The following is a 26239-nucleotide window of genomic DNA, read 5'->3' as shown; positions in this document are numbered from 1 at the left end:
TCCCACAACTGACAATTTGTTCTTAAATTTAGGGATAAAGTATTATGACTTCTTATTTCTTTTTCATATTTTATAACTGAAAAGCTCGATATTGGATCACCCAAATAAGACCATTTTTTTCAATAAACCTAAAACTTTTACTCATAGAAAATGTTTTAACTGTGTTTTTTTTAAGTATTTGATCTTTGAAAAATTTTAATTTTATATCTTAAAATAGCACTAATTACCTCCTTATGTTCTTACACTTTGTTTTTAGATGGGGTATTTTGTCTTGTTTCTTTTTTCAAAGGAAAGTATCATGGAAAACAAAACCAGGTTAGCCAACTTGGAGAATGCCTATAAATTTGGTGACAAATTATACATACAAACTTAAACATGATAGTATATATTCTGGCCCTTCCTTTTGAAAGAGTTTAAGAAATATAAGTTTTTTCATTTCTGAAAATTGGTATTTAGTATGTCACTCTTTTATGTTTCGTAAGTATATTCCTGCTATGTTGGCATGTATCTGTGATTGCATTAAAGGCTGATTTCCTGTATACTACTAGGCTGTGTGTGTCCGGGGGGTGATGATTAACTTATATTTATGCTTTGAAAATGGGAAGTGAAATTGTTCTTCCTTTTAGTCACAAATGTGCAAGGACATAAGAAAAAAAAAAACCTGAAGTTTCCAGTTACCTGTTTCAGCTTTCAGACTTCCAAGTTGTGCTTTCATATTCAACTCAGGGTTCATTTTTACTTGACATGAATAACTTAGTAAAATATGTTATATGTTTAATTTTAAATTTAACTTCAGTTATTCATCTTAGTATTTTTATGAACAATAATGGAAGTATAAGAACATGTTTCTTATATATTTTAAAAATGTATTTGTTGATTTGTTTGAAGCTTTTCAACTGTTAGAGATTTTTAACAATTATTTTTCTTTATAGAATTCATGAAAGAATGTTTAAGATTAATAAATGTTTGAATTAAGCTGCATAAACAATGACAAATATTTATTACTTCATGGCTTCATTTTTTTTATTACATAATATGTCTGATCTTCCATACTGCTAACAACTCCCAGAGACACTTCAGTATGTGGAAAGAGTGGGCGCAAATGTTGATTGTGCAGTGGTAATCTTTCTCCAACTATCCTGATTCATTTTTATTACACCTTGAGGCACAGTGAAGTTCATTCAAAAATATATTTATAGTCAAATATTTAGAAACAAAAATGATTCTACGGATGGTTTATAAACAGTGGAGAAAGGATCAGTGCTTCTACTGACTGATCAGTGAGGTTAGTTTCTTCCTAAACACAGAAAAAGATCCTGTTGTCTTTTTCCTCCCTGGAAAGTTGATGATGCTTTTAATGTTTCTGAGATTTATCAAAAACAACTGGAATTTGCTAGTGCATGCATTCTGGTTGATAACTATTTGCTAAAAGTATTTTACATTCTGTGAATTTAACTGGTGTTTTTATGTTGTGTAGAATTTTTTCAGTGGAGAGATGGAGTTTTTTAAAAAAATTGTTGTTAATATTTTAAATGTTAGTAAACTATGTTACCTTTATTTCTCACTATATGGGGCATAATATAGAATTATTTGAGGTTTGTGGGATTCTTTAAGGTGAACATGAATTCCGCTTTATGATGATTAGTTCCCTGATTTATCACTGTCTCCAAAGGATCAATTTTATTATGTAAAAACATTGGGAGAAATTATTGATAATAATTTGCATCCCGTATTTTACCTGTTTCTAAGGAGAGGTGTTAATCATGACTTTTGGGTGAAAAGTCTATTCTCATTCTATTTTGGAATATGGATAAGCAAAGACTTCCTATTTTCTGTTTCTGTATTTGCTTATTCACAGTAATTTTAAAAACTCTTATTAGGACTAAATAAGATAAATAATCCCCTCAGCAGAATCCAACTTGATTGCTTTGCTTTACACCTTTCCACACTTTAGAAGATGGGGTGAGGTATTGAATTTTCTACCCCATTTTCAACATATTCTTAAGAGAATTAACATGGTGGGAGTTATTTTAGTACCAGCATCTCTAATAGGCATTTAGTAAGTATTTATTGCAAGTGGTAGTTCCAAGAAAGTAAGGATTTTTGTATGTTTTGTTCACCAGTGCATCCCTAGTGCCTAGAACAGTGCCTGGTACATAGTAGATACTCACTAAATATTTGCTGAATGAATAAAAAGAAACAATAGAAGGGATCAGGCCTTATGTTACCTTCATTATTTAGGAATTCTAGGATGCCTTTGCCAATCATGTGTACATTTATTGTATTGTTTCTTTTCAAGTTTGCTTCAAGTAGATATATATGTGAACATCGTTGGTAAAGGGTGGTCTTCTTCTGGTATACCATCTGAGTAAAGAATGTATGGTCACTCAATTATTTCTCTATATGCAGCCTTCAGTTTAAGAGTAAATAACTCTTTTTTTCCTCTAAACAATCTCATCTTTTAAAAAGATCTTGCCAAGAGTGACTTTGTTTTTCTCCTGGTATTTTAGAATGGTACTTTAGATTTGGTTTTACAGAATTCTATTAGTCTAATAATTTTTTATTTAAATATTTTTGTTTCTAATTTTTTTATATATGAAGATGCTACAGTATGAGATGTATAGTCTGCCTAAATGAAATTAAAATATTTAATTCTTTTCATTGCAGACAAGATTATTTTATACTTTTTCTTGGTGTTAATTAATATGAATTAGTATTTAATGGTTGTGGTGTGTTCACTTATTTACAAACTACTTATTTTACATTGTAAATTTGAATTCAGAAATGTTGTTAATTGTTCCCAATAATCGCATGAAATTTAAGGTTGTACATTTCTTTAAAATTCCATTTAAAGTTTATGAAAAGCTCTAGCCGTCTATTTTATGTACTTCTCACAATCTAGCAAATAATTATTTCCTGTTGTTTGCTGGTTTTAGCTACCAAAATACATTTAGCTCAAAGCAAAACCTTGTTTTTTACTCACTTTTCCTTGACTTTGCTGTATTGTAAATATAAGTTATTACAGAAATAAGGCCTGTCAAAATGCATATCGTTAGTAAACTGAACTTAAAATGAATCCTGATGGGTAATAATCCATCTGGGAAAAAATGACAAATGTTACATTTAGATGTTAATTGGGCAATGCAATATTTATTTCTTTTTATTTGTCAATCAGGATTTCCCTTTGGGAAAAACAGGAACCATTCATCTTTAGTCTATCTTGATTAATACAGATTAAATGCAAAGGTTGAAAGATGCAATTATCTTCGTTTCCACCATTAAATGAGTGTATATTAGTTCATAAGTAGAGTAATCAAGTTTTAAAGATAAAGGTTAAAAGTTCCTATGTTATTTTATGGGCTTTTGAAATCATTCCTATGGTATTTTATGGGCTTTTGAAGTCAGCATACATTTTACAAGACATTTTATAAAAGAGCAAAAGATATAATAATTGTTTCGTTCTAAATTATTGAATGTTAAGATTGGGGAATACTAATGTCCAAATACATTGTATTAAAGACAAAACCCAAGAAAACGATATTTAACAGGCATTAACTTCCCTTGGGTAGCTCATGGAGCCTGTGCCTTTAGGTTGCACTTAAACTTACACAAAAACTTAACTGCCAAGTTTCTCTTACAGTCAAAGTAATGCTTCCTAATACTATGTTTTAGACACAAATGTCTGATTTATAATTCCATCACTGTGTCAAAACGTAAAAGTTAAATACTGGCGTATAGGATGGAGATTATAATCCCCAGCCACATCTCAAAGTCTTGTCTGGTGGATCCTTTTAAATCAATTTCTGTTAATACAGTGAATTTCTAGGCGATCTAGCCCGAGGTGGGTTAGTTTTTGGCAGTCTTCCTAGCTGGGACCTGCAGGGCTACAGCAAAGCCATCTCCATCCTTTCAGGGCTTTTACCTCCACTTGACTTCCTTATTCTCTCTCAACCTGCTCTCCAGGCATCTGGCAAGGAATACAGTTCCTCCTTCTGCATACAACGGGTAGGGAACAAAACGTAGCTTTGCTAGTGTCAAAGTGATAGTCATCAAAATACCTGTTCTTGTACCATTTTTCAAACTAACTAGTGATTTATATAAATATATATGTATATGCATATATACATATAAACAAACTGATTTTTTGAACTAGTTTAGAAATGAAGAATTTAAACAGAATTTCTTCAGTTTAAGAATATAAACTATATAAGAAGAACAATCAGTTTATAAAACGGTGCAGATTTTTTGACTTACCTAGCCATTTCAGTGGCCTGCATAGCCAATCGAGTAAAAGCTTCACTTCTTGTAAATTATTCAATTGGGATATAAGTAATATCATTTAGGCTTCTAAGTAGTTTGTGCCAACGTTTGCTGTAATTATCTCACTATTTCTATGAAAAGTTTTCTTTATGAAGAGTGGTCTGATTAACCCATATATATATATAAAAATGTAAATATACCATTGGACTCAAAATATTTTATATTAAACTTTAATATTTGTACTAGCTTTTACTTTTATAAAAGGTAATTTACAGTATCCTTCAAATATTCTATTATTGGATTTTCTTTTTCAAATTTTGTAGTAAAAATTTTAATCTACAAGATAATTCCTATGATCATGAAAAATAAGTAAGCTCTCATTTTTACATGTTTGTCTTATTTTTAAGTAATTTAATGTTGCAAGAAGACTAGTACACAAGTAGGGCAGTTTTTTAAATGTTTTATTTGTTTCTGGTTAATTAAAATTTTTTTAATTTGCTTTTATCAGACTAAAATTACATCAGATCTGTTTTTATTATTTGTATACTTTTGGTTGTAAAGTTCATATTATAAGATTGACTAATTCCATTTCTTTAAAAAAATGCCCTTTAAATGAAGATTTTTCTATATGATATGTCTTCTGTTCATTAGCAAAGGAAGCAATATTGAGTTCTTTACTCAGAACAAATCATGCTATTATACCTTTGACAATATGCATTATTTTATGAGGATATGTAGATGTACTTACAAACATATCTTTGGCATTTTTAACTTACACATATTGTGTGTTCCATGCTTGTGGATGTGGAAACTTCATTAGTTTAGTTGAAAAATACTACTCTGTTTCAAAAAGTATTTACATTTTTTATGTCTGCCTTTCCAGAATTTTTTTCTTTCGTGTCTTCTTTATAGTCCTTGATATCAAGAACCTATATGCCCTTCTTTAATATATTAAGACTGCCACTAGAAGGTGGTCAACCCTTGCTCTGTCTAGTATATGTACACAAAACAAGAACCAGCACTGTTGTACAATACAGCTCACTAGGGCTGCCATAACATCACTCAAGTGCTTCCCAATCTCAATCATTTTACCAAAGCATGTGGATAAAATATATGAATCAGGATTTTATTGCTGCATTTTATGTGTAGTCTCCCTCAGCTATACTTAAAACTAATAAAGTCTTAAAAAAAAAACACTAAAGAGACATGCTGTCCCCCTGTTGTAGGCAAAATACTAATTTGAACCTCAGTAACTTAATTTCCCAATCAGACTGCCTTATCTCTTTTATACTAAATGAATATGTGTAGCAAACCTATTCTGTGTGTCACTTAGAATACTCAGAAATCATGTTTAAGCGCCCCTGGAAAACTTGTTTACTGACAATCAAGTTATAGATGATTCATAACAAAAGAATTATTTTGGCCTGTAATACTTTTATGTCATTGTAAAAACAAATGTTTATTTTGTGTAATCTTTTTAAACTTCTATAGGTCAGCCTTGTATATGTTAAGAGGTATTATGCATGTTTAAATGTGCATATTCATTCGTATATGTGTCCTGTGAAGGACTTCAAGTCTTTCTGATCAAAATCTGAATTTTATTTTTAAAAGTACTCTGGTTTGTCTTGTAGATTTGGTGGCTATGTTTTCAAAGCCAACTATCAATATGGGTTTAATGACATAAGTTTAATTACATAAACATCATGTAGGAATATTTGACATTAAAATGGTTTTTGGAAATTCAGTTGTCATGACTAAAGTCAGTAATTCTGAAAATATTTTTAATGAATTTTTAAATTAAAAGTCTGAAAATTCAGGTTCTAAGTTTGATTGCAAATCTTAAAATATGTAAGTAAAATGGAGAAATTTTTTATTTATTTAAATGTCCATATTATTTTTAGCATTTCATTGGAAATTCCTAGAGGACAAGGATGAGATCACATTCATTTTTGCATCACTAGATGCCTGGCACATTACTTGGCTCATGGTTGGTGCTCAATAAATGAATTCTTTGGCTTCTATAATTTATAATAACTTGAATTGCAAGTTAAATGTCAGCTCTTTATTACACCTGTCTTACATATGGCATGAAAATTTTTGTTGACACAAGTAATGTGAAATATTTACTGCTTTTGTGAAACATTGGTCTGGAGTAATCAGGAAATGTGAATTGGAAACCAGACTCAGGCATGGAGACAATATGTGACTTTGAGAAAGTTATTTAAGTCTATTTCAGTTCTGCTTTTATAAATAAATAAATGAACAAAAGATTTAATTTTGTTAATGTTAAAATTCAATAATATAGACTTGGATTCAATTTTCTAAAATTTTCTTGTACATTCAGTGCTTTAAAGATTTTTTTGTAATGTACACAGGATAACATAAAACTTTAGAATGTGAACATAGACTGAAAAAGTATTGTGTTACCAACTATCATTGCAGTGTGCCTTCCAGAATAATGAATAAACACAGTTTTGAGGTAGAAAAATTAAAATGGTTGTAATAAATGATTCCTTTTCATTACATGTAAACTCTTTGCCAATGTCTTGTCAGTTTATTTTCATTTGGGGAAGAAACGACTGAATTTTGTCTTTTCTGCTTTCAGAATCTGTCGCAGTAGACAATATTGTTATTATCTAGTGGTAATTTGAGATAAATTAAAATTCTATAAAAAGGAATGTAACTTTAATATAAACACTCATACCAGGCAGCCTGCTGTTCATATGTTATAATAAGCCAACACTAAAGACATACTGTTTACCATGCTACCAGGCTTGGTAACATATTTTGTTCTGTGGCAATCATATTTCTGATATTTATGACCAGTTAACGGGATTATTTGAACTCCTTGAAGTGGTGTCTATTTTCAAAATTGGAATCAATACAGGGAAAATTAGTATGTCTCTACGTGTGCTTGAATATTTGAAGAAATGGATATTGTCTGAGATCCTTAGTGATGTTCAGCTATTTACAGTGTTTCTGAGCGTTTTCAAAGGCAGATTACCACCTTCTGAATTATAGCAGTTTACTCTATCATAAGACTTGATGAAGAACTTCTAAGTATTTCTGTATGTTGCATTTGCAGTGTCTTGTAGAAATTTTGGCAAATTATGTGATTTGTCTGTGTTTATTGTGTCTTATTTCCCTAGCTCCAGTGGCTGTTGGACAATTATGAGACAGCAGAAGGAGTGAGCCTTCCCAGAAGCACTCTGTACAACCACTACCTTCGACACTGTCAGGAACACAAACTGGACCCAGTCAATGCTGCCTCTTTTGGAAAATTAATAAGATCAATTTTTATGGGGCTACGAACCAGGAGATTGGGCACTAGGTTAGTATTGAAAAATAAGATCATAAACTAATCTCTCTTTTTCAAACTAGGGCAATTCAATATATTGTTTAAACAAAAGTACTTGATTACAGACAATATATAAGGAAATACATAGAATGAGCTCAGTTTATAACATCCCCAGGAAAAGGAAAGGACATTATTCAGTGACTTCTTTCCAAGCCACAATTATATGTTGTCTAAAACATGAACTGAGCAAAGCTTTGAGAAGAGCTGATTCTCAAACTACATAGAAATTAGCAGACCAACCTGTTAATGCAAGATTTGCATATGGTGCTTTAAAACACACACAAACACATACACACACACACGCACATAAAAATGTATTCTCTTATTGAAAGAAATCATACTAATGATGATGAGTTAAGTGACATAGTAAATGGAAAACTATGTATCACTTGACTCTTGAAAAATTACATTTGTCTTTATAAATAACTGTTGGGATAGAGTAAGAAACTAAAGCAGTTTTTTCATTTCATTTCTGGAGGCCAGTTAAAAATCATTTGGTAAACTTGCAAAATATTGTTTAAATTCCTCAGTGATGAGATAGCTCTATTTTACCTCTTATTAGCCCCTACTTTTTTTTCTGCTCTTAATATGAAACCATGTGTATGTGGAAGGAAAAACATAGTATAGTTCAATTGAATTGAAACAATGTGAAGAAGTTGTTTCTGGTTTTTCTTCCTTTGGAAATAAATATGAGTGTTTTCACTAACCAAAATATCATGAAAAGAATACTTAGAACTCTGGGGCTTCATTTTTGTCTTTCCATATTTCTATAAATTATCATAAGATAAATATTTTAAGTAGCTGGACAGAAGGATATGGATGTTTTTAATTTCCTAAATCTTATAGAAATCACATAAAAAGTTAAAATAGAGATACTGTACTATACAACATTAGGTGATATACCCTTAATTAGCTATAAAGCACAACTTCAGAGTATTTTCGTAAAGAGTTTTTTTTTTTTTTTTTTTTTTTTTTTTTTTTTTTTTTTGAGATGGAGTCTCACTCTGTTTCTGTTGCCAGGCTGGAGTGCAGTGGCACGATCTCAGCTCACTGCAACCTCTGCCTCGCAGGTTCAAATGATTCTCCTGCCTTAGCCTCCCAAGTAGCTGAGACTACAGGTGTGTGCCACCACGTCCAGCTAATTATTGTATTTTTAGTAGAGATGGGGTTTCACCATGTTAGTCCAGATGGTCTCCATCTCTTTTGTGATCCACCTGCCTCGGCCTCCCAAAGTGAAGAGTTTTTAATCTTAATAAAATAAACACAGCCTTCCTTAGTAATTGACTTCATTAAAAATGTATACCAAAAAGAGGAGTGAGTGTTGTAGGAAGAAAAGATTGATCTTTTTCTCACCACCACAAGACTCATGGCTAGGACCCCTATAACGAAAGATTAACAACAGAAAAGGATACAAATTTGTTTAATATAAGTTTTACATGACTGGGAGCTTTCAAAAATGATGGCCCAAAGAAACAGAGAGAACTGTATGTATTTTATGCAGTCTGATGAAGTGGATAGTTCTGGAGAAACATGATTGGACAGAAAGGGGTATGATCTAATGGTTCTAGGGGTATGATCTAATGGTTCTAATCTGGGGGAAACTCAGCAAGGTCTGTTTTGTTTTGTTTTGTTTTGTTTTGTTTTGTTTTGTTTTGTTTTTGTTTTTGTTTTGTTTTTTGAGAAGGATTCTCGCTCTGTTGCCCAGGCTGGAGTGCAGTGCCCCAATCTCAGCTCACTGCAACCTCTGCCCCCCGGGTTCAAGTGATTCTTCCTGCCTCAGCCTCCCGAGTAACCCGGATTACAGGCACCACCCCACTCCACCACGCCCAGATAATTTTTGTGTTTTTAGTAGAGATGGGGTTTCGCCATGTTGGCCAGGCTGGTCTCAAACTCCTGACCTTAGGTGATCTGCCCGCCTCAGCCTCCCAGAGTGCTGGTGTTATAGGCGTGAGCCACCGCACCCAGCCCAGCAAGGCCTGTTTGTTCAGATTTTTCTGCATCCCTGTGTCTTCAAAAATAAGAACGTTCTTTTCTGCAAGGTATAGGAGGACCCCTCTGGAATGAGGGTCTCATGACCTATTTTCAGGAGAAAGTAAGCTAGGTTTTATGGCCTGCTTCAGAGGAGAAGGAGTGAGGGGAATTTTTTCTGGTTTCTGTGGCCCGCTTCTGTTGTTTCTTCAAATGCCAAGGTGCCATAGTTTGGGATAGCATGTCCTAAACCCCTTCACTGTGTCAGTTTTATGAGATTTACAAGGCCTGTATGTATTAGCATGAATTATTGCTTTTCTGTAGCATTTTAAGTGATTATACAGCTTTTGGATTGCTGAAGGTTTAGCTCTCTCATAAATATGTTTCCTTCTTTCTGTACTTCAAAAGATAGTATATTTTAAACTGAAGAATGTGATTGTCTATTCACACTAAAGGAATAGTTTTCATTCCCTTGAGAAAACTTTTTGTTTCTATAGTACTTTTTTTCAAAACCACAAAAATCATTATTTGGGGACCTAACCTACTATCTCCTCGCTGGTGGCTCTGTAGTTATGCATACCGTGCCAATATTTTGAAACTCTGGGCTTTATTCAACATTCTAATAGCTGTATTGTTGTCCTTCTTTTGTTACTGAAAGGAATTTCAATGGGTCCTATTTTGAGGCTCCATTCAAACGTTGAAACAAGTCTTTAAAATAGAAAGGGACAAAATTGGGGTTGTTTGGTTTTGTGAATGAGTAGAATCCATACTCTGTAAGTACGTATTGCAATATTGCCGCTTTTACTTTCTGATGTTCTGGGTTCCTCCCACCCCCAACTAGGTAACAATTATGAATTATGTCTCCTGTTTTTTTTTTTTTAATTGTATGTAGTGTTTACAGTTATGTTTGTGAAGCAAACCCTAGAAAAATAAGGAGAAAATAAGTACTATGGAGGGAGTTTAAAGAAATGAAGTGCTATGAAGACAGAATTCTAATGTAAAAAAACTGACAATTGTAGGAGTGAGGTACTAGACATTCTTTCTACCATAGAAACTGTTTAGCATTTACTTTCTACTCCTAATCCAAGGAACAGATGGAAAATTAATATAAATCATGAGGCAAATTAAATACTTTTTTTTAAAATGAACTATATGTAGAACTATTATTAATATTATCTATCAATAAAATAATCTGGTGAAACCACTCAAACCAGAACCAGATCTTTTCTAAAGTTTTTGGACCTAAGTAAACAAAAAGTAAATCAAATCACTGTTTTAAACAAAGGCAAATAAAAAGGTACCTTTTATTAGATCCCATCTCCAAGTTAAATTTGAGTAAAGAAGACCATGGATATGCTTCTCTCCCCCAACCATTCCCAATGAAATAAAAAGAACCTCTCCCTCCCAACCCAATTAAAATGTTAATTTGTAGGAAACCAAAAAGAAACTCAGCACTCCATCTATTTGAGGTCTCACAAGAGAGACATCATTTTCCTCTGTAGTTTTGTCCTGTAAGTAATGTCTCCTGCTTCCTACCGTACCTCTACTCCCTACTGTCCTCCAGCTTGTACAGGAGAACGCCACAAATTGGGTATGTGGAATTTTTTGGTTTTGCTTATTGCACCATTCTGCAGTGGATTTTTGAGACAAGATCTAATCTCTGCAAGTAGAAGACCTTTCTTTACGGGCGTTAAGTTTCTCTATCTGCTTTATTGTGCTGAAAGCATGTAGGTATTTGGATGCCCTGCATTTTTTAAAAACTGGCAATATAATTTATATAGTATAATTTTAATGTCTTCAAATATATATAAGGTTCATTTAATATATGTTTTTAAATCTTGGAAGTGCAATTCTGCTCTATTTTTATAAAAAATATTTAATCCACACTCTTCTTGCATTTCTTTTTGTAAATGGAAGAAAAAATTGGAAAAAGTGCTGATGTATTGCTATATATGGACTTGTGAAAAACTACTATTTTCTCTTTGCAATAATTTACATATTTAAAATGATATTTTGCAAGAATTTGCAAATTCCATTCAGAGCAAAACTTTGTCATTTCTAATAGCAAACATGGTCTTTCTCATGAACATGGGGAAATTGTGACATTTTTATTCCAGGTGGAAATTTGCCATTTTCATAGAGAAATTTCCCCATCTCTTCTGTGACAAATCCTGTTTAGCCTGCAAAACTAACACAAATCCATAAAAACAGAAACTAATAAAATGTGTTTCAAAATCAACAGATTAAAGGCTTACTTTCTTTTTAGGTTTCAAAATATTAAGTAAGTCTTTACCACAACATTTTGTAACAGACAATTAAGTTATCTTACTTCATCATCACTGAAGTAAAGAGAAAAATGTCAAACTTATCCAGGAAAGTAGAATTAAGATTTTTTCTTTGTTCTATATACATGCTTTACAATAAATACGTATTCCATTGACTAATTTTTATTGGCCTGTTAACTAATTTTTACTGGCCAAAAACTTTTTTCCTATCATTACCCTTCTTAACTAAATTTAAAATAGAAATTTGAAAATGGAATGTAATTTGTATGGAACAAATGGACTGTTTGACTAATATTTAAGTGGAAGTTTATAAACAAATATTTTTAGCAGGGCCTTTAGCTGATTGATTTGGAATCTTATTTTGATTCTTCAAATTTTATCACCATAAAAACATAAAAGTATTCAGAACAGGTTAATCATAAATATGTAACATTAACTTACTGTTTTTACCAAATTTTTCCAAGTGTGAAGTTTAATGGACATCCCATGTGATTAATATTAGTTTGACTGACTTTTGTTTCTAATGTTTCTTGTTCATTAATGAAGAGGAAACTCCAAATACCACTACTATGGGATTCGTGTCAAGCCAGATTCCCCTCTTAATCGTCTGCAAGAAGACATGCAGTATATGGCTATGAGACAACAACCCATGCAACAGAAACAAAGGTAGACTCTGAAGTTATCATTGATGTGTCCAAGCTATGTATTTCTTAGTTGTTCGGGTCTCCTTTTTTCTGAACAAATACCTAAGTATAAAAGAACGTTCTTATTGTTGGCATGCTTTCACTACAGATAGTTCTTAAATATGATTTAGAATTTCAGTGATCTCGCCTGTTTTCCAAATTTTTAAAAAGTACTTATCAGTCAGCCGTTTGGCCCCTTTTAAGTGTGACATCCCAAACTGTTCAGACAGGGAAATGAAACACAAAACATAAGGAGCATACCCAAGCAAATACCAACTGGAGAAATTTGTTTCAGTATTCATGAGCTTCTGACTTGCTATTCTGCACATCTCTCAAGTCATTCTTTTTGACACAGTATGAATTCTTGCAGAATGTTTGGGATGCCTTACATTTGCTTTGAATCCAACTTTCATAGATACAGAATTGCTGATATTAGAGTTGTAAGAGATCTCAAGCATTCATGAATGGATGGATGAATGATGGATGGATGGACGTATGGACGGATGGATGGACGGATGAATAGAATCATAGATCTTAGATTTGAAAAATATGTCAGTCTAGTCTGGCTTTAAAACCTTATGACAATCAAAGCATTAATAGTTTCTGTTTTTTCAGATGAGTCCCAGAGAGGTTAAATGATTTGCACAAGCACAAAATAAAGTTGCATAGCTAAGGGCCTTCTAGTCCCATGTGACTTATGTCACAATTTAGAGTAAACAAAATGAAAAAATCCTTTCCTCTTTACCAGCATAGCTCAACCAAGACAGAAGTTATGATTTTTCTTTTCAAGTGAGCATGCAGAATTAGGTAGGAGAAAGGAGGCCTCTGCATAGGTCCCAGTGTAATGATCTGTAGTGATTAGTTGCCTTGGCCACATCTCCCTATCCATGCTAGTTTAGTCAGAAGCATTAACTCTAAGATAATGTCTGAGAAAAGAATATATCACACAGTAATTTTATACTATTTAGTCAGCCAATACTGATGTTAAGCCCTGCATGCAGAGATAAGACACAGTTCTTATGTTTGAAGAGTTAAAAAATTAGAAGGGGAGGCACATGGAGAATGGAAAAAAAATGGAATACAGTCTGGGAAGTGCTAAAATAAAACTTTGATCAAGGAACTATCACAATACAGAGGAGTTTTCGGCAATATCTGGGAGAAAGGGAGATTGGGAAGTTTCTAGAGAAAGTGCTCTTTGAGTAGGAACTTAGAGGAGTCATAAAAAGAGAAATATTGAAGCAGAAGGAAAATTCACCTAGCGGTGAAGTCCATGATGTCTGTGGTAAATGGTCCATGACATATTTATTGAGGCTGGTATTACAGAAGGAGAATCAAGGAGGTGGTTGAGTAGTTTAGTGGGAGATGAGATCTTAAAAGTAGTTTGGATCATATATTAAGGGATTTGCTTGTATGTAAAGCTAATAAGTTTGTTCTTTGTGCAGAACATAGCTTTGAAGCTATGTAAGGCTTTGAAGCAAAACAATGAAACTTTGATTTTTTCTAGAGAGATGACTTTTTGATTTTGGGCAAGACATATTTAATGGAAAGAGACTGGAGGTAAGGATCCTTGTTCAGTGGCTTTTTACACAGTCATAATTTCCAGTGTAAGTGCACCAGACTGAAGACTCAGTTCAAGGTTGGCTATTATATAAAAGATATCTTAAAGGTTTTAGATTTTTTATTACAGATTCTCAATCTTATTTTTTTATTGCTGATTCTTATTTTTTGATGTGTAGCCAGTGAAAAATAAGAAGGGCTCTGAAAAAAATAATAAAATAAATTATAGAATAGTACCTCATAGAGTTGGATAGTACCTCATAGAGTTTGTGTGAGTTGCAATAAATTGTTACTATTTTGGGTTATGATTGCTTTTTGCATCTGTTAATGGCAGCACTTGTAGCCTTTACTTTTTGGTGTGATTTCTGCACTCATGCATAGCACCACTACACAGTGGAGATGATGGTGAAATCAAGAAAAAGAAAGTTTGCTTCAGAAATAACATATACTCAAACTTAAGTATGAATAAAAACTTAATAAATTATACCTAAGACAGTTGAAGCCCATTATTTGACTGCAAGGAATTTCCTGTGATTTAACTGCCAGGAATTCTAGCAAGCTTTCATAGAAATAGAAGCCTTCAAGGGACATTCTTTATAAAAAAAACCTGAGTTACATAAGTAAGGCCCAGTACTTTCTGTGGTCTCCTCATGAAACAGATTCTATAAAGATTAGCAAGCCATAAAAACCTCTGCATTCTCAGGATAGTGGTACTTGAGTTTGGAAACAGATAAAATATGGAGACATTTCAGAAATGATATAAGAATCTCAGTAGTATTAATAAATTGAATTTGATTCTTATTTCTTACGAAACAGGAATGTGAAAGAACCAAAGAAGTACTGAAACTTCCTTTAATTTGTTGTGTTTTTTTAATGATACAAGTTTAGGATTATAGACAGTTGCTCTTAAAATGATGTCTTGCTAACTGATTGCAGTGTTACTGTTGCCAATTGCATGGGCCTCTCTTATAGGGCAGCAGGAGTCTTCTGTGGTCTCTCTGAAGGAATCTGTCCACTGACAACATTGATAAGCCTTAACTGAAACCAGTTACCCTGTTGTGCAGAAATATTTAGACAGGAAAGAAGGAGTTTCTTTTCATGGGTGTGGACATAAACTAATTTAAGAATATTTGTTGAAAACAGTGGGAAAAGAACTTCTTAAAAATATATTTTATGGCTTAAAAAAATTTTCAATTTCAAAATTCAAATGATTCTACTGAATACAGTAAAAATTATATAAAGAGACTGCCAGTCTCTTGTAAAAATACAAATGACATGTGAAAGGTTTAAAGTATAAAATAGAAGATATTTCAAAATATTCACGTTGTTTGAATACTTGAAGGTTTATTAAATGCATCCATGTGTGCTTATCTTTCATAATGTAAATTTGTTTTATATGTTCTTATAGTGAAGAAATGCAAGTCTATGCAGTGATTATTTTGTTAATTAAATATAACTTTTGGAGCTCAATTGTACATTTTTCTCATGAATTTGGAATTATAGTCATTGTAGGGATAAGAATGATTATTGTTTTTATATAGCTCACAATTTCTTGAGCTCCTTTATACAAGGTGTCACTTGAAGGTTTGATGGGGTGGTAGAGGAAATCTCCATTTATCTATAAATCCAATTCCCAGCAATACCACTGTATGGAACATAGCCATGAGTCGGAAAATAAATGTAAACAGCTTCTGATTGGAAAGCAGATGTCATAGAGCCTGCAGTTTCAGTTAGTTGAAAAGATAAAGCCATTCTCAAGCCATTTTACCTAAAATAAAGGAGATTAGAGCCCACTTGATTCACAGGCAGTCATGAACTATGACAGCTGCCAAGAAGAAATACAAGTAGACAGGGTCTTCTGTTTAAAATTATTCAGTACAACAGTTTGTGGACACTCCGTGGAGGGGCAAATGGACCTAGGCACTCCAGTAAATATTTCAAATATCACTCTAATGACTAAAATCTAGCCTAACACAATATAACAACTGCTTTGCATATTGATGGCATTATGGGTAATCAAGGGGAGGTAAAATACCATGGTTAAGGAGGCAGGAGACTGTGTAACAGTTTTTTTAAAAAAAACTTCTATTGAAAATACTTCATATGAAAATAATTTTTTTGCACTAAAATGAAGTAATCTTCAGTTTTTGACGAAATGCACTCATAGACTAATTTGTTTACCCTAATTTAGATAATAAGTAAGTTAGATTATTATAGAGCAAAAAGGACATCAGTAATTTCCACCTCTTCAAACTAAGTAACAGTATTTGCTGCAGTTTATTTTTGATAATGAAAAGAAGTACACAGAGAGTATTGGCATGTATATTTTAGATATTTTTCCAAATTCCAGTAGTAAAAGCCAAATGCTTTTGTTAATATGCTTGGCTGTGTTTGATCCCAGTAGCCATTCTCAAAATATTAAATGTCATTTATCATTTCTTCAACAAATACTTATCAGTTGTTATTTGCATACACAATCTGTCAATCACATCTAAAAGACATAACACAGAATCATAGAATGTTAGAGAAGGAAGGAAGAAATCACCTAGTCCAACTTATCCTGTTGATGAGAAAACCGAAGTCCATAAAGGTTAAATAACTTATCCACAGTCATATAGCAACCAGGTTAAGAACTCTTGTCTTTATTCTCATGAGAATTCCACCCTCAAAGAGGTAAGATAACCCAAACAGAAATACACGTAATAAAATTTTTGCATATGAAATAAAGGGAGAAATCACATTTTAATGAGTATGTTTCAAGTAACTGAGGAAATGTGCCACCTCCTGCCTCTTTGCATGGTCTCTTCACAGCAATTGGATTCTGTGAAAGAATAAACCTTTCTTTCACAGGATGTGAAGTAAGAATGTCACTTAAGAAGAGAGAAGAAGAGGTCATTTGGAAAGATGGTACAGCAAGCCTACTTTTGTTTTGGCTGTAGATAGATGTAAAAGCATGCACGTTCTTTTAGAAGTGAGAGAGGAAATTTAAGAACTTTTATCATTAGATGGCCTTTCTTAATATAGGGTTCATAGACTAGTTAAACGAACCCTATATTTAGAATTGGAAAATGGGGAATTGAGTACAGGCTACATAGGCACTTCTGCAGAGTGTATGACTTAACTTCACTGAGCCTCAGTTTCTTCATCTGCAAAATAGAAATTCATAATAGACTATCTCACAGATTGTTTTGAAGTTCAAGTGGAATAACGTATCTGAAAATTTTTTTAATAACTGGAAGTGTTAAAGTGTTAGATAATTATTATTAGGATCATTATTATATGATGAGCACTACAGAAAAATATCTTTCTTATGGGATATTTAGTGTTTTGGAGGAGAATGAAGCCTGGCAATTGGTCAGATTGGGCTTCCATTTCTCTATACCTCTAGGCTAGTGGTTTCTAACTTTGATTGATGTTAATAGTTTATCATTCCTTTCCTAGACATTAATTCCCTGGTGATGTAATGATAATCTTTTCTATTGAAGAGAGGAGAAACATAAATAATCACAACTCAATAACTACCAAACTATAGTAATTTATGTAGTTTGTTAATAATAACAGTCACCACTTATGCTCCTGAGTAGTATTTGTGGAACATTTAAAATATTTTTCAGTAAACACATTACATGCAAGATCTCATTGGCAATTATATTGTTACTTACTGATAAGGAAACTGAGGACCACTTAATTTTGCTGTATTCAAGAAGCTCACTAATTTATTTCTTCCTAGATAGAACCTCAGTTGCCTTTTTTGTTGTTGTTATTGTTTATCTCTTGGCATCAGATGGAGCCAGATTGTCATTCTTCAAATAAAGAAGGTGGGAAAGGGTAAGAGATAAAAGAAGTGTCATGCATACTTGTAGCAAGAATATATCAGTTCTATACAGCTAACCATAAACCACCTATGCTTAGAGGACTCAATGAAGAAATTCATGAGATCAGAGAATCATGTCTGCCTCTTTCAGCACTGCATCCTCAGCACCTGGGAGAGCTCTAAGCACATTGTCGGTGCTCTCTAAATATTTGTTAAATGAATGAATGACCCACAACTCTGATTTTCGCCAGCAGCTTCAACCTCCTCCTTTACCTGCTGCAGTTAACATATAGCCCATTTCAATTTAATTTTTTCCACCTCTTCTTGCCCGATTATAGATGTAAAGCTAATGAAGAGACAAATACTCAGAGAGCCACCAACAAGAATGGAAGAGATGGAATACCTATCATTAACCAGCATGGTTGATGTTAGAAGTCATTTGCATATATTATCAGTATATTCAGTGTAACATCAAAATTAGCTACTATTCTAAAAGAGTGGAACTCTTCATATTTACTATTTTCTTCTGATCCATTAGCGTTTATATCACTTGGTTCATTTCAGACATGAAGTCATCTAAAGACTTTCTGGGACAGTTTTTTCCAAAGAGATTACAAGATTCCAGTAGAAAATTCTAGCCTCCTGCCCTTGTTCTGAGCTCAGTATTTCAATTTATTCATGCAAATAAAATGATTGTGTAATTTCTGGAATTACAAAACATAATGATGTCTCCTTTTGCCTATACAGTTTATATTTTGTGTTTGCATGTGCATTTTTCAGCCACTTTGAAAGGATTTTCCAAATGTTTCATTTAATCTGTAGAAAATCCTTCCACCTGGTGCTGTTAGTTGAATGTAATGGTAAATATATACCATTCTTTGCCTTCCATTGGACTGTTTTAGTACCCATGTGTGTGGGATTGACAGAATATTACTTTTACAGTAGAGTTACAACTGTCCAAGTCCTAAATAGCAGCTGTGACTAACCCCATGGAGGAAGATTCCTAATTATTTTCTAAGTTTTCTGTGTTAGTGACAGGTTTTATGCATACAGTCAGCTATTAAAGCATGAGAGTTTCTTTTATTTCTTAATCATTAACAACTTTAGCACTGATTACCCATTGAGTTGCAAGCTGTTAAAATTATCATTTGCCTCTTACTAATTTTGAAACCAAGTGCTGTTTCATTATTTGATAAAGCACAGGTCTTTCTCAGAGCACACTCAATGAAAGAGTACTAAGAGTTTACTCTGGGAAAACCAAATCTAAAAATAATTAATTCATAAAGTAAATGGAAGTAAAGGGAGGAAAATACTCTTAAATATTAAAAAGTTCAGTATTTTTAAAGGATTCAACAGGAAGGTTTTTGTTTGACTTTTTTTTTTTCAATGGAAATCTTACCTGTTTTTTAAAATTTATTATTCTCCTGATATGGTAGATTTGATAAAGTTTATGGTGATTATTTTATGAAGAGTATAGAGAATCAGAAAATCTACAAGTCATGTTTCAATGCTATAATGTCAGTTGAAATTCAACCAAGGTTAACATAATGTAGAATTACTATGTAAGCCAATAGAATATAAAAGACATCTTGGAAAAATTATATTTATACCCAGCATTTTAAAAACCATGTGCCTATAGTGGCCTACCCATAATACAGTATGTGCTCAATAAATATTTGTTAAATTGATTTGATATATATACAAAATCAGTTGATGATATGATAAAATCAAGCATGTTACCTTAAACATTTATTCATTCAAATATATTTATTGTACATTCCAAATATAGTTTATTGAGAAAAGTTAAAAATTAATGACTTATTTTGTTTAAAATGATGTTTTTCTAATATTAATTGATGTATTTCTACAACATTGGGCTGAAGGAATCTATTTGGGACCAACAGGCTCCTGTGGATTAGGCTGTACTACCTACTTAAGAAATACCTCAGAAACTTGTTAGAATAACCAGTTCCTAAGCTCCATTCTCAAATATTTTGGGAGTGGATCTAGGGTGAGCCTAGGCACCTGAATTTTTTGAAAAACTACCTAGATATTGATATGCACTTAGATTTCAAAAGCAGTGATATATAATCTACAACCACTGTTTCCAAGAAGAATCAGTTGCTACTGGTATTTGTTTAGCCTGTTTTTAATGTGATTGTTCTTGACTTCCTGTTAAACTCCCTCCTTCTTTGGGAAGACACAAACTTCAGAGGTGAGGGTAGGGGTAGGATATTTTCCTTAGTTAGGGTACCTTGAAAATGAGGATCTAGGCTTTCTCAGTCCAGTATTTCTGATTTCTGGGGATTTTTTCTAAGTTCCAATCCATTGCCAGACAATACATTGTCGATATACCATGACATGATTCATTACTTAAAGCAAGAAAAGCAAAAGTTATCACTACCTGGAAGCTCTCTCATACTTACAGGCCCACATTAGCCCTCTTGTACATGAGCTGTATTCCATATTACCATCTTGATGTCATTCTTTATGGCACAAACCCATCCTAAACTTTGTCCCTAGACCTTTTCCCAGGAGGCATAACATATGCTTCTGGCTTGCAGAGGTCCTGTAGCCAAGCAACCAAGAATGAATGCACATAGTGTGTCTTTGCTCAATCTCTGTCCATCTTTCAATCCACTATTCACCGTGCTACCCTTACTCTTGTGGTTAGAATGAAAAAACACTCATTTCCAAGTTCTGATATATTTTCTGTGTTTTTCTTTATTTCAACTGTGTATTATAAAATCTTTTCCTAAGTACTGACCTGCATAGTTTCTCCAGAATTTACCAACTTACCTCCTTCTTTGCCCTAAAAGTTGATCTTGATGCATTTTTCATCTCCCACATAATATAGTTTATCTCTAATTAGTGTTTCCCACTCAGTATCATTAAGTATAATCATATGTTAATTATAATGCATCATGATTTTGATTCCTTATTAAAAATATAATCTCTCCTTTCATTAGGAACTTTCATTTGCAATACTAACAGCTGTCTCCATCTTCCTAAGGAAGCAGACAATTTTGCTTGTAGGCTATAGTATTCCTAAGCATTGTGCGCAGTTAGATTGTGATGTAACATCTGTCTTTTGAAAACTTACAGTCTAAGTGGAATATAAGTCATTTTCTTTTATGGTTAAATTCCATTTGCCCTTGATATTTGTGCCTATTAAGCACCTGTAGTATGTTAAATGCTTTGTAGGACAAAGAAATGTGGCAGAGCATAACTGGGCAAAGTCTTGTAATAATTTTGCAATCCTGTATTAAAAATTAATGTAATTGAAGTCTATTGGAATTATTTTCATTTTTTCCTCCTCCAGGGTAAATATTAATAACTCAAATTCCTTTAACCACTTTTATTCAAGCTCTGTGAATCCCAAACTCCATTAACTTAAATGAAGAAACATGGTTAAACAATTTTAGGCTATTTTATTAATGAGACACAATTCCATAGCTGAAAAGGGGAAGCTAAAATCAGTTGAAACTTGGAATGAATCAATAAGGAAAAGAAACTTTCCTGAACAAAATAAGGTTAAAATCATTCAAGTCTGCTACAACAGAATGGCTAGCAACTGCTCTGCCGCACATGTACACAAAGTGCTTTTTTGCCTCATGAAGTTTCTTTGCTTCTCAAAGATGATTCTTTAAGGAGGAAAAAAAAATCAGAAAAACATTAAATTTTTAATAAACAAGGCATCTAGCACATCACAACACTAACTCTTCTGTTATATTTGGATATGGCCCCAGTTGAAAAGTACCTCCCAGAAGGTTTTTCCATTAAGTAAAAGATTAGATCTGAGTTCTTTTCTCTCATTAGAAAACAGCAATCAATTTTTTTGTAATGAGGAGTCATCACTAAAATTATATTCATGAGGATGAAGAGTGCTGTACTGATTTCCAATCTCTTCCCCCTCTGACTTTATTTTTTGTTTTTCATAGTTGTTTGTAAGATACTGTCACATAAGAAATAAATGTAAATGTCATTATGAGAGATTTGGCAATTATTTGGAAAATTTCATTTATCTGAGTTGCAATTGATAACATCCAAGATTGATTCATTTCCTAAGGCAAGCTGAGCATTAGTTTGTATGATGTTCTACCAGGTTCGGTGACTTCATATTTGTTGTCAGCATGCAGGCATCTTTGAGTATGTCCTGTTCACATATTAGGGTCATTGTTATTCATAGTAACTTCATATTAATGATGCAGTTGAATTTTAGTATCAATGTAGGGGTCAAGTGTCTGGATGGTGAGAATACTAGTTTGTTTGTAAATATAATTAGAAATAGGGAAAAAAAAGAATGGGAGGCCAGACAGCATAGTGTGAATGTTATCTCTAGATAGTATGTTTATTGTAGATTTTAATTTTTTCTTACGCTTTTCTGTTGTTTCCAAATTTATAAAATGAAGAAAAATAAGTGGAATCAGAGAAAAAGAAGAAATTACAGTTGCTGCTTACTTATTTTGTTTTGCTTATCCTAGGATACTTGGCCAGGCTTTTTTATGTTTTGTTTTTTTATATGATATTTCTTTTTCAAGACATCTTCCTTCTTCCCCATGCCACTGAAGCACATTTTTTTCTATCTTAGCTGTATGGAAAATACATAAGTTTGTATGACTAGGACCTGAAGATACATAACTTTAACTGACTTTGATTCTTTATTTTAATTTGATAAACTCTGTTTGTAGATTGATTCTTGCATATATTTTGCTACAAAATGATGCTTATGGCCTTTGTATTTGAGGATGTTGATAATTGTCATGGAGATAAATGTGTTGAGATGCACGAAAGGTTCTAGGAGATATGAAAAACAATATGATAGGATTTGTAGGCTGATCATGTTTTAGAGATATTAACTAATTGAAAGCCATTCATCAACATTTCTCAGGCCTGAGCTCCTAGATCATTGTTCAGATTAAAGTTCCAATATATCCATTGACCATTAAAAGTTACTTTCAAGCTGTGTATTAAAACTTAATCATGGACATCTTTGCTCCTGCTGTCCAAAGAAATACCTTATAATTCTTTCATTCTTAGGTAAATTTCTGGATTTCCAAAAATGGGTCCCCTTCATGCATCCCTTCTCCCCTTTTTTCTTTTCACAATTGAAAAAAATATTGCCTTCTAACTTTATGAGACTATCAAGGAAAAAAATCCTACAACTATCATGAGACGTTAAAGAAGATAGAATAAAACTGAATGCTTTGGGAGTTTCGGGTAGTACAAAAAAGCAAGGAATAATTTGGTTTATTTGTTTTTTTCCATCTAATATTTTTAGGTACAAGCCTATGCAGAAAGTGGATGGGGTTGCAGATGGTTTCACAGGAAGTGGTCAACAGACAGGCACATCTGTTGAGCAAACTGTAATTGCCCAAAGCCAACATCATCAACAGTTTTTAGGTATGTTAAGGTGTAATGCATATTAGTTGCTACTAGGATTTTGAAAAGTTAGTCTTTTCTCCAAGTGCAATGTCTATTATAGATGTCAATGACATAGAAAGATTTTTTTTGGTGCCAAAATTATGCACATCATATGTATAACAGTCCTAGTTCATGTCTGCCTTTCGTGTTTATTAGAGCTTATTTTTAAAAATCTCGAGCTATATAGGACTTTTATGCGTATGAATTAAAGACTCATTGCTATGAAATTGTTTTCCAGAATTTGTATTATTCGGCTTTTGTGATCAAAATTATGCTGTTTACTTTCAGTAGTAACTTCAAGTGCCAAAAAGAATTCTCATTTCCTATGTATAAAGTTATATATGCACAGGCTCAGATTAGAAAAAAAATTTTTATAAACTTTTTTAAAGTAATTTATTCATTTAAATTAATCACAGTACTTTCTATTTTTGTAATTTATAGATGGAATACATGTTTCTTGTTATTGAAAGAGTTAGGAAGAAAAACTTGCATATTTTTCATATTTTTGCCATAGCCAAAGGGGCAAAAAAGTGGCACTTTAATTTGATTGACAACTCTTCTAGAGATGAACATGCATATTTTCCATATAACAGGTCAAGATAAGTAGAAGGTATCAGAGAGTGACTGTGTGTATGTGTCTGTGTGTGTGTATATGTGTCTATGTGCACTTTCTGACAAAGACAACTAAAATAGACTCTCAGGTTGGAATCATTACTGAAGTTGAAAACATGGCAGCGTTTCTCAGACTGAAGTCCTAGGGTTATATTCTTGTGGACCTTTGGTCATTCAACAAGAATTTTATTTTGTGATTTCACTTCGATTATCATCTTAAAAACTAAGCATATTCTGGATTACCTAGAAAACTAGAACTAAATACTGTTCTGCAATTTTAGTTTCCATATTTGTACCTGGATTTATGGTAAGACAGGCACCAAAATGTCTTACATTAATTGTCCAGAGCTAATAAGAAAAGAACACAGAGAGACTTACTATGTAAATTACGCCTCCCTCACAAGGGAAGCCTAGATCATGTCCCTGTATTCTGTGTGAAGGAAAGTTTCACAGTCATTTGTACATAGAAGAGTAATAGGAGAAGCAGCCACCACAAAGCACATGTTGGTATAGATCTGTCAGACCCAAAAGATCCTGTGCTGCGGCAGTCAATACTGATCCTTGTTGCAAGAGATAACTTAGTTACAGGACAAGAGCATCATCCATCACATCAAATTAATGTTGTTAAATTGTATGTTATTTTTGTAGTTTTCTTTGTATCTGCTTTGTAGCTCTTTAGGTTTATGACTCTATAACAGTTAAGAACATAATGAGTTTAAAATTCGTTTTTTTATGTAATTAAACAACATAATAAAAATATCTAAAATAGGTACTAGCAAGCTCGAGATATTTTTCTTTTAATAGGGGCCTTGTGTTGAGAGACACTGTGATATGCAGTATACTATTTGCAGTATAATTGTATTGCAAATTTTGTTTCTAGAAAATTCTTAAGAATGTTCCCTTTAGTTTTATATTTTGTGCTGATGATGTTGCTTAGTTTTACTTGTAAAATATTAATATAAAATGTCCTTGCTCTCTGGACCCCTGACCTTTAAAATTTGTTTTTCTTTTTGGTCTTCTTAAATTTTCCCTCATTAATCTGTAATTGGCACCATCCACAATAGCTTTTTTCTGTTCTGTTGTCACGGTAACAGATGCATCTCGAGCACTTCCAGAGTTTGGAGAAGTTGAAATCTCTTCTCTGCCAGATGGTACTACCTTTGAGGATATCAAGTCACTGCAGAGTCTTTATAGAGAGCACTGTGAGGTAAGTCTTTTCAAATGTAGTATGAACACATGCTAGGTTTTGCCAGATAACTTGCTAATATAAAATAATCAAGCTTATTCCTAAAGGACAGGTGAACTTAGCACTAATTCTTTTGAGCGTATCTTTTAGCACTAACAAATTCATTTTTCTTCTTTCTGGTCTCAGAGTGGAGAGATGAGGAATGCAGAAAAGTGAGAATAAGTTTTATTCTCTATTTCTTAAGCCTATCCTAATATGAATCCTTTGGCGTAGCAATTCCACCTCTAGGTATTTGTCCTACAAAAATATTTATATCTGGGTGACAAGAGAAGTGTACAAGGGCATTTGTTGCATTATTATTTTTAATGCAAAAGATTGGTTATAATTTCTTTATCTAGTAGGGAGCTGCATAAATAAAATATGGTATTAATACAATCTTTAGAGTAGAATACTATACAGCCATCAAAAGAATAGGCAACTCTATACACATACCAAAATGGATCACTTCGAGATTTAAAGTTAAAAGAAAAAGCAAATGCAAAAAATTATGTATACATATTTTCACTTGAGTGAAAAATAACATGTGTGTTTATGTATGTGTATATATGTATGTTTCTTCCTTTTCCTTCATATATATATCCATATGTATGGATATACATATCTATATATGGATATATATATATCCAGAAGGAGAAAGAACAAGAAAATGTTAACAGTGGTTGCCTTTGTGAAGGAAACTGGGTGACTGGGAGTTAGAGGGGAGAGACTCAACTTTTCAACAGACCTGTTTTATCTTTTGAATTTTATATCATAAGTGTATATTTCTATTAAAATAATTTCTGGAAATGTTTAATAAACCACCTTAGGTGTTCTTTCCAGGGATCACTGAGGTTCCAGTTTTGTTTGTTTCACTTTTGTGGTTAATTAGGGTTCCTTTTGGTGTTTTCTAGCCCTACTCCTACTCTCGTTCTGAGTATCCCACATCAGAATTTGCTTCATTGTCTGGGAGGTGAGCTCTCTGCATGCCAGCACATTAATGTACCACAGCTCACCTGGCAAAAAGGGGATAATGGATTATAGTAAGAGTTTTCT

General features: G+C 32.8%; 1 protein-coding gene across 33 annotated transcripts in view, besides 1 other annotated feature; it reads left to right on the top strand.

Annotated features, from left to right (window-relative positions):
* Window positions 1-26239, top strand: part of RFX3 (regulatory factor X3) — a 307705-nt gene that overhangs the window by 225334 nt on the left and 56132 nt on the right. For 31 of the 33 annotated variants that reach the window (XM_047423701.1, XM_047423699.1, NM_001282116.2 and 28 more), the window contains 4 exons: window positions 7410-7591; window positions 12418-12537; window positions 23207-23328; window positions 25056-25168. In XM_047423701.1, the coding sequence (XP_047279657.1) occupies window positions 7410-7591; window positions 12418-12537; window positions 23207-23328; window positions 25056-25168 (537 nt within the window). Of the gene's footprint in view, window positions 1-7409; window positions 7592-12417; window positions 12538-14058; window positions 14112-15368; window positions 17940-23206; window positions 23329-25055; window positions 25169-26239 lie in introns of those variants that run through there. The other 2 variants (XM_006716847.3, XM_017015002.3) reach the window with 2 other exon arrangements.
* Window positions 8963-9764: an enhancer, noted in NCBI's record as "H3K27ac hESC enhancer chr9:3290904-3291705 (GRCh37/hg19 assembly coordinates)". NCBI's record gives its function as "activates a minimal SCP1, AML or CMV promoter by ChIP-STARR-seq in naive and primed H9 embryonic stem cells {active_cell/tissue: H9 hESC(naive and primed)}" and the evidence as "EXISTENCE:reporter gene assay evidence [ECO:0000049][PMID:30033119]".

Source organism: Homo sapiens, chromosome 9 (genome assembly GCF_000001405.40).
Source record: "Homo sapiens chromosome 9, GRCh38.p14 Primary Assembly".
Taxonomy (NCBI): domain Eukaryota; kingdom Metazoa; phylum Chordata; class Mammalia; order Primates; family Hominidae; genus Homo; species Homo sapiens.
This window is presented reverse-complemented; position numbering and strand designations above follow the sequence as displayed.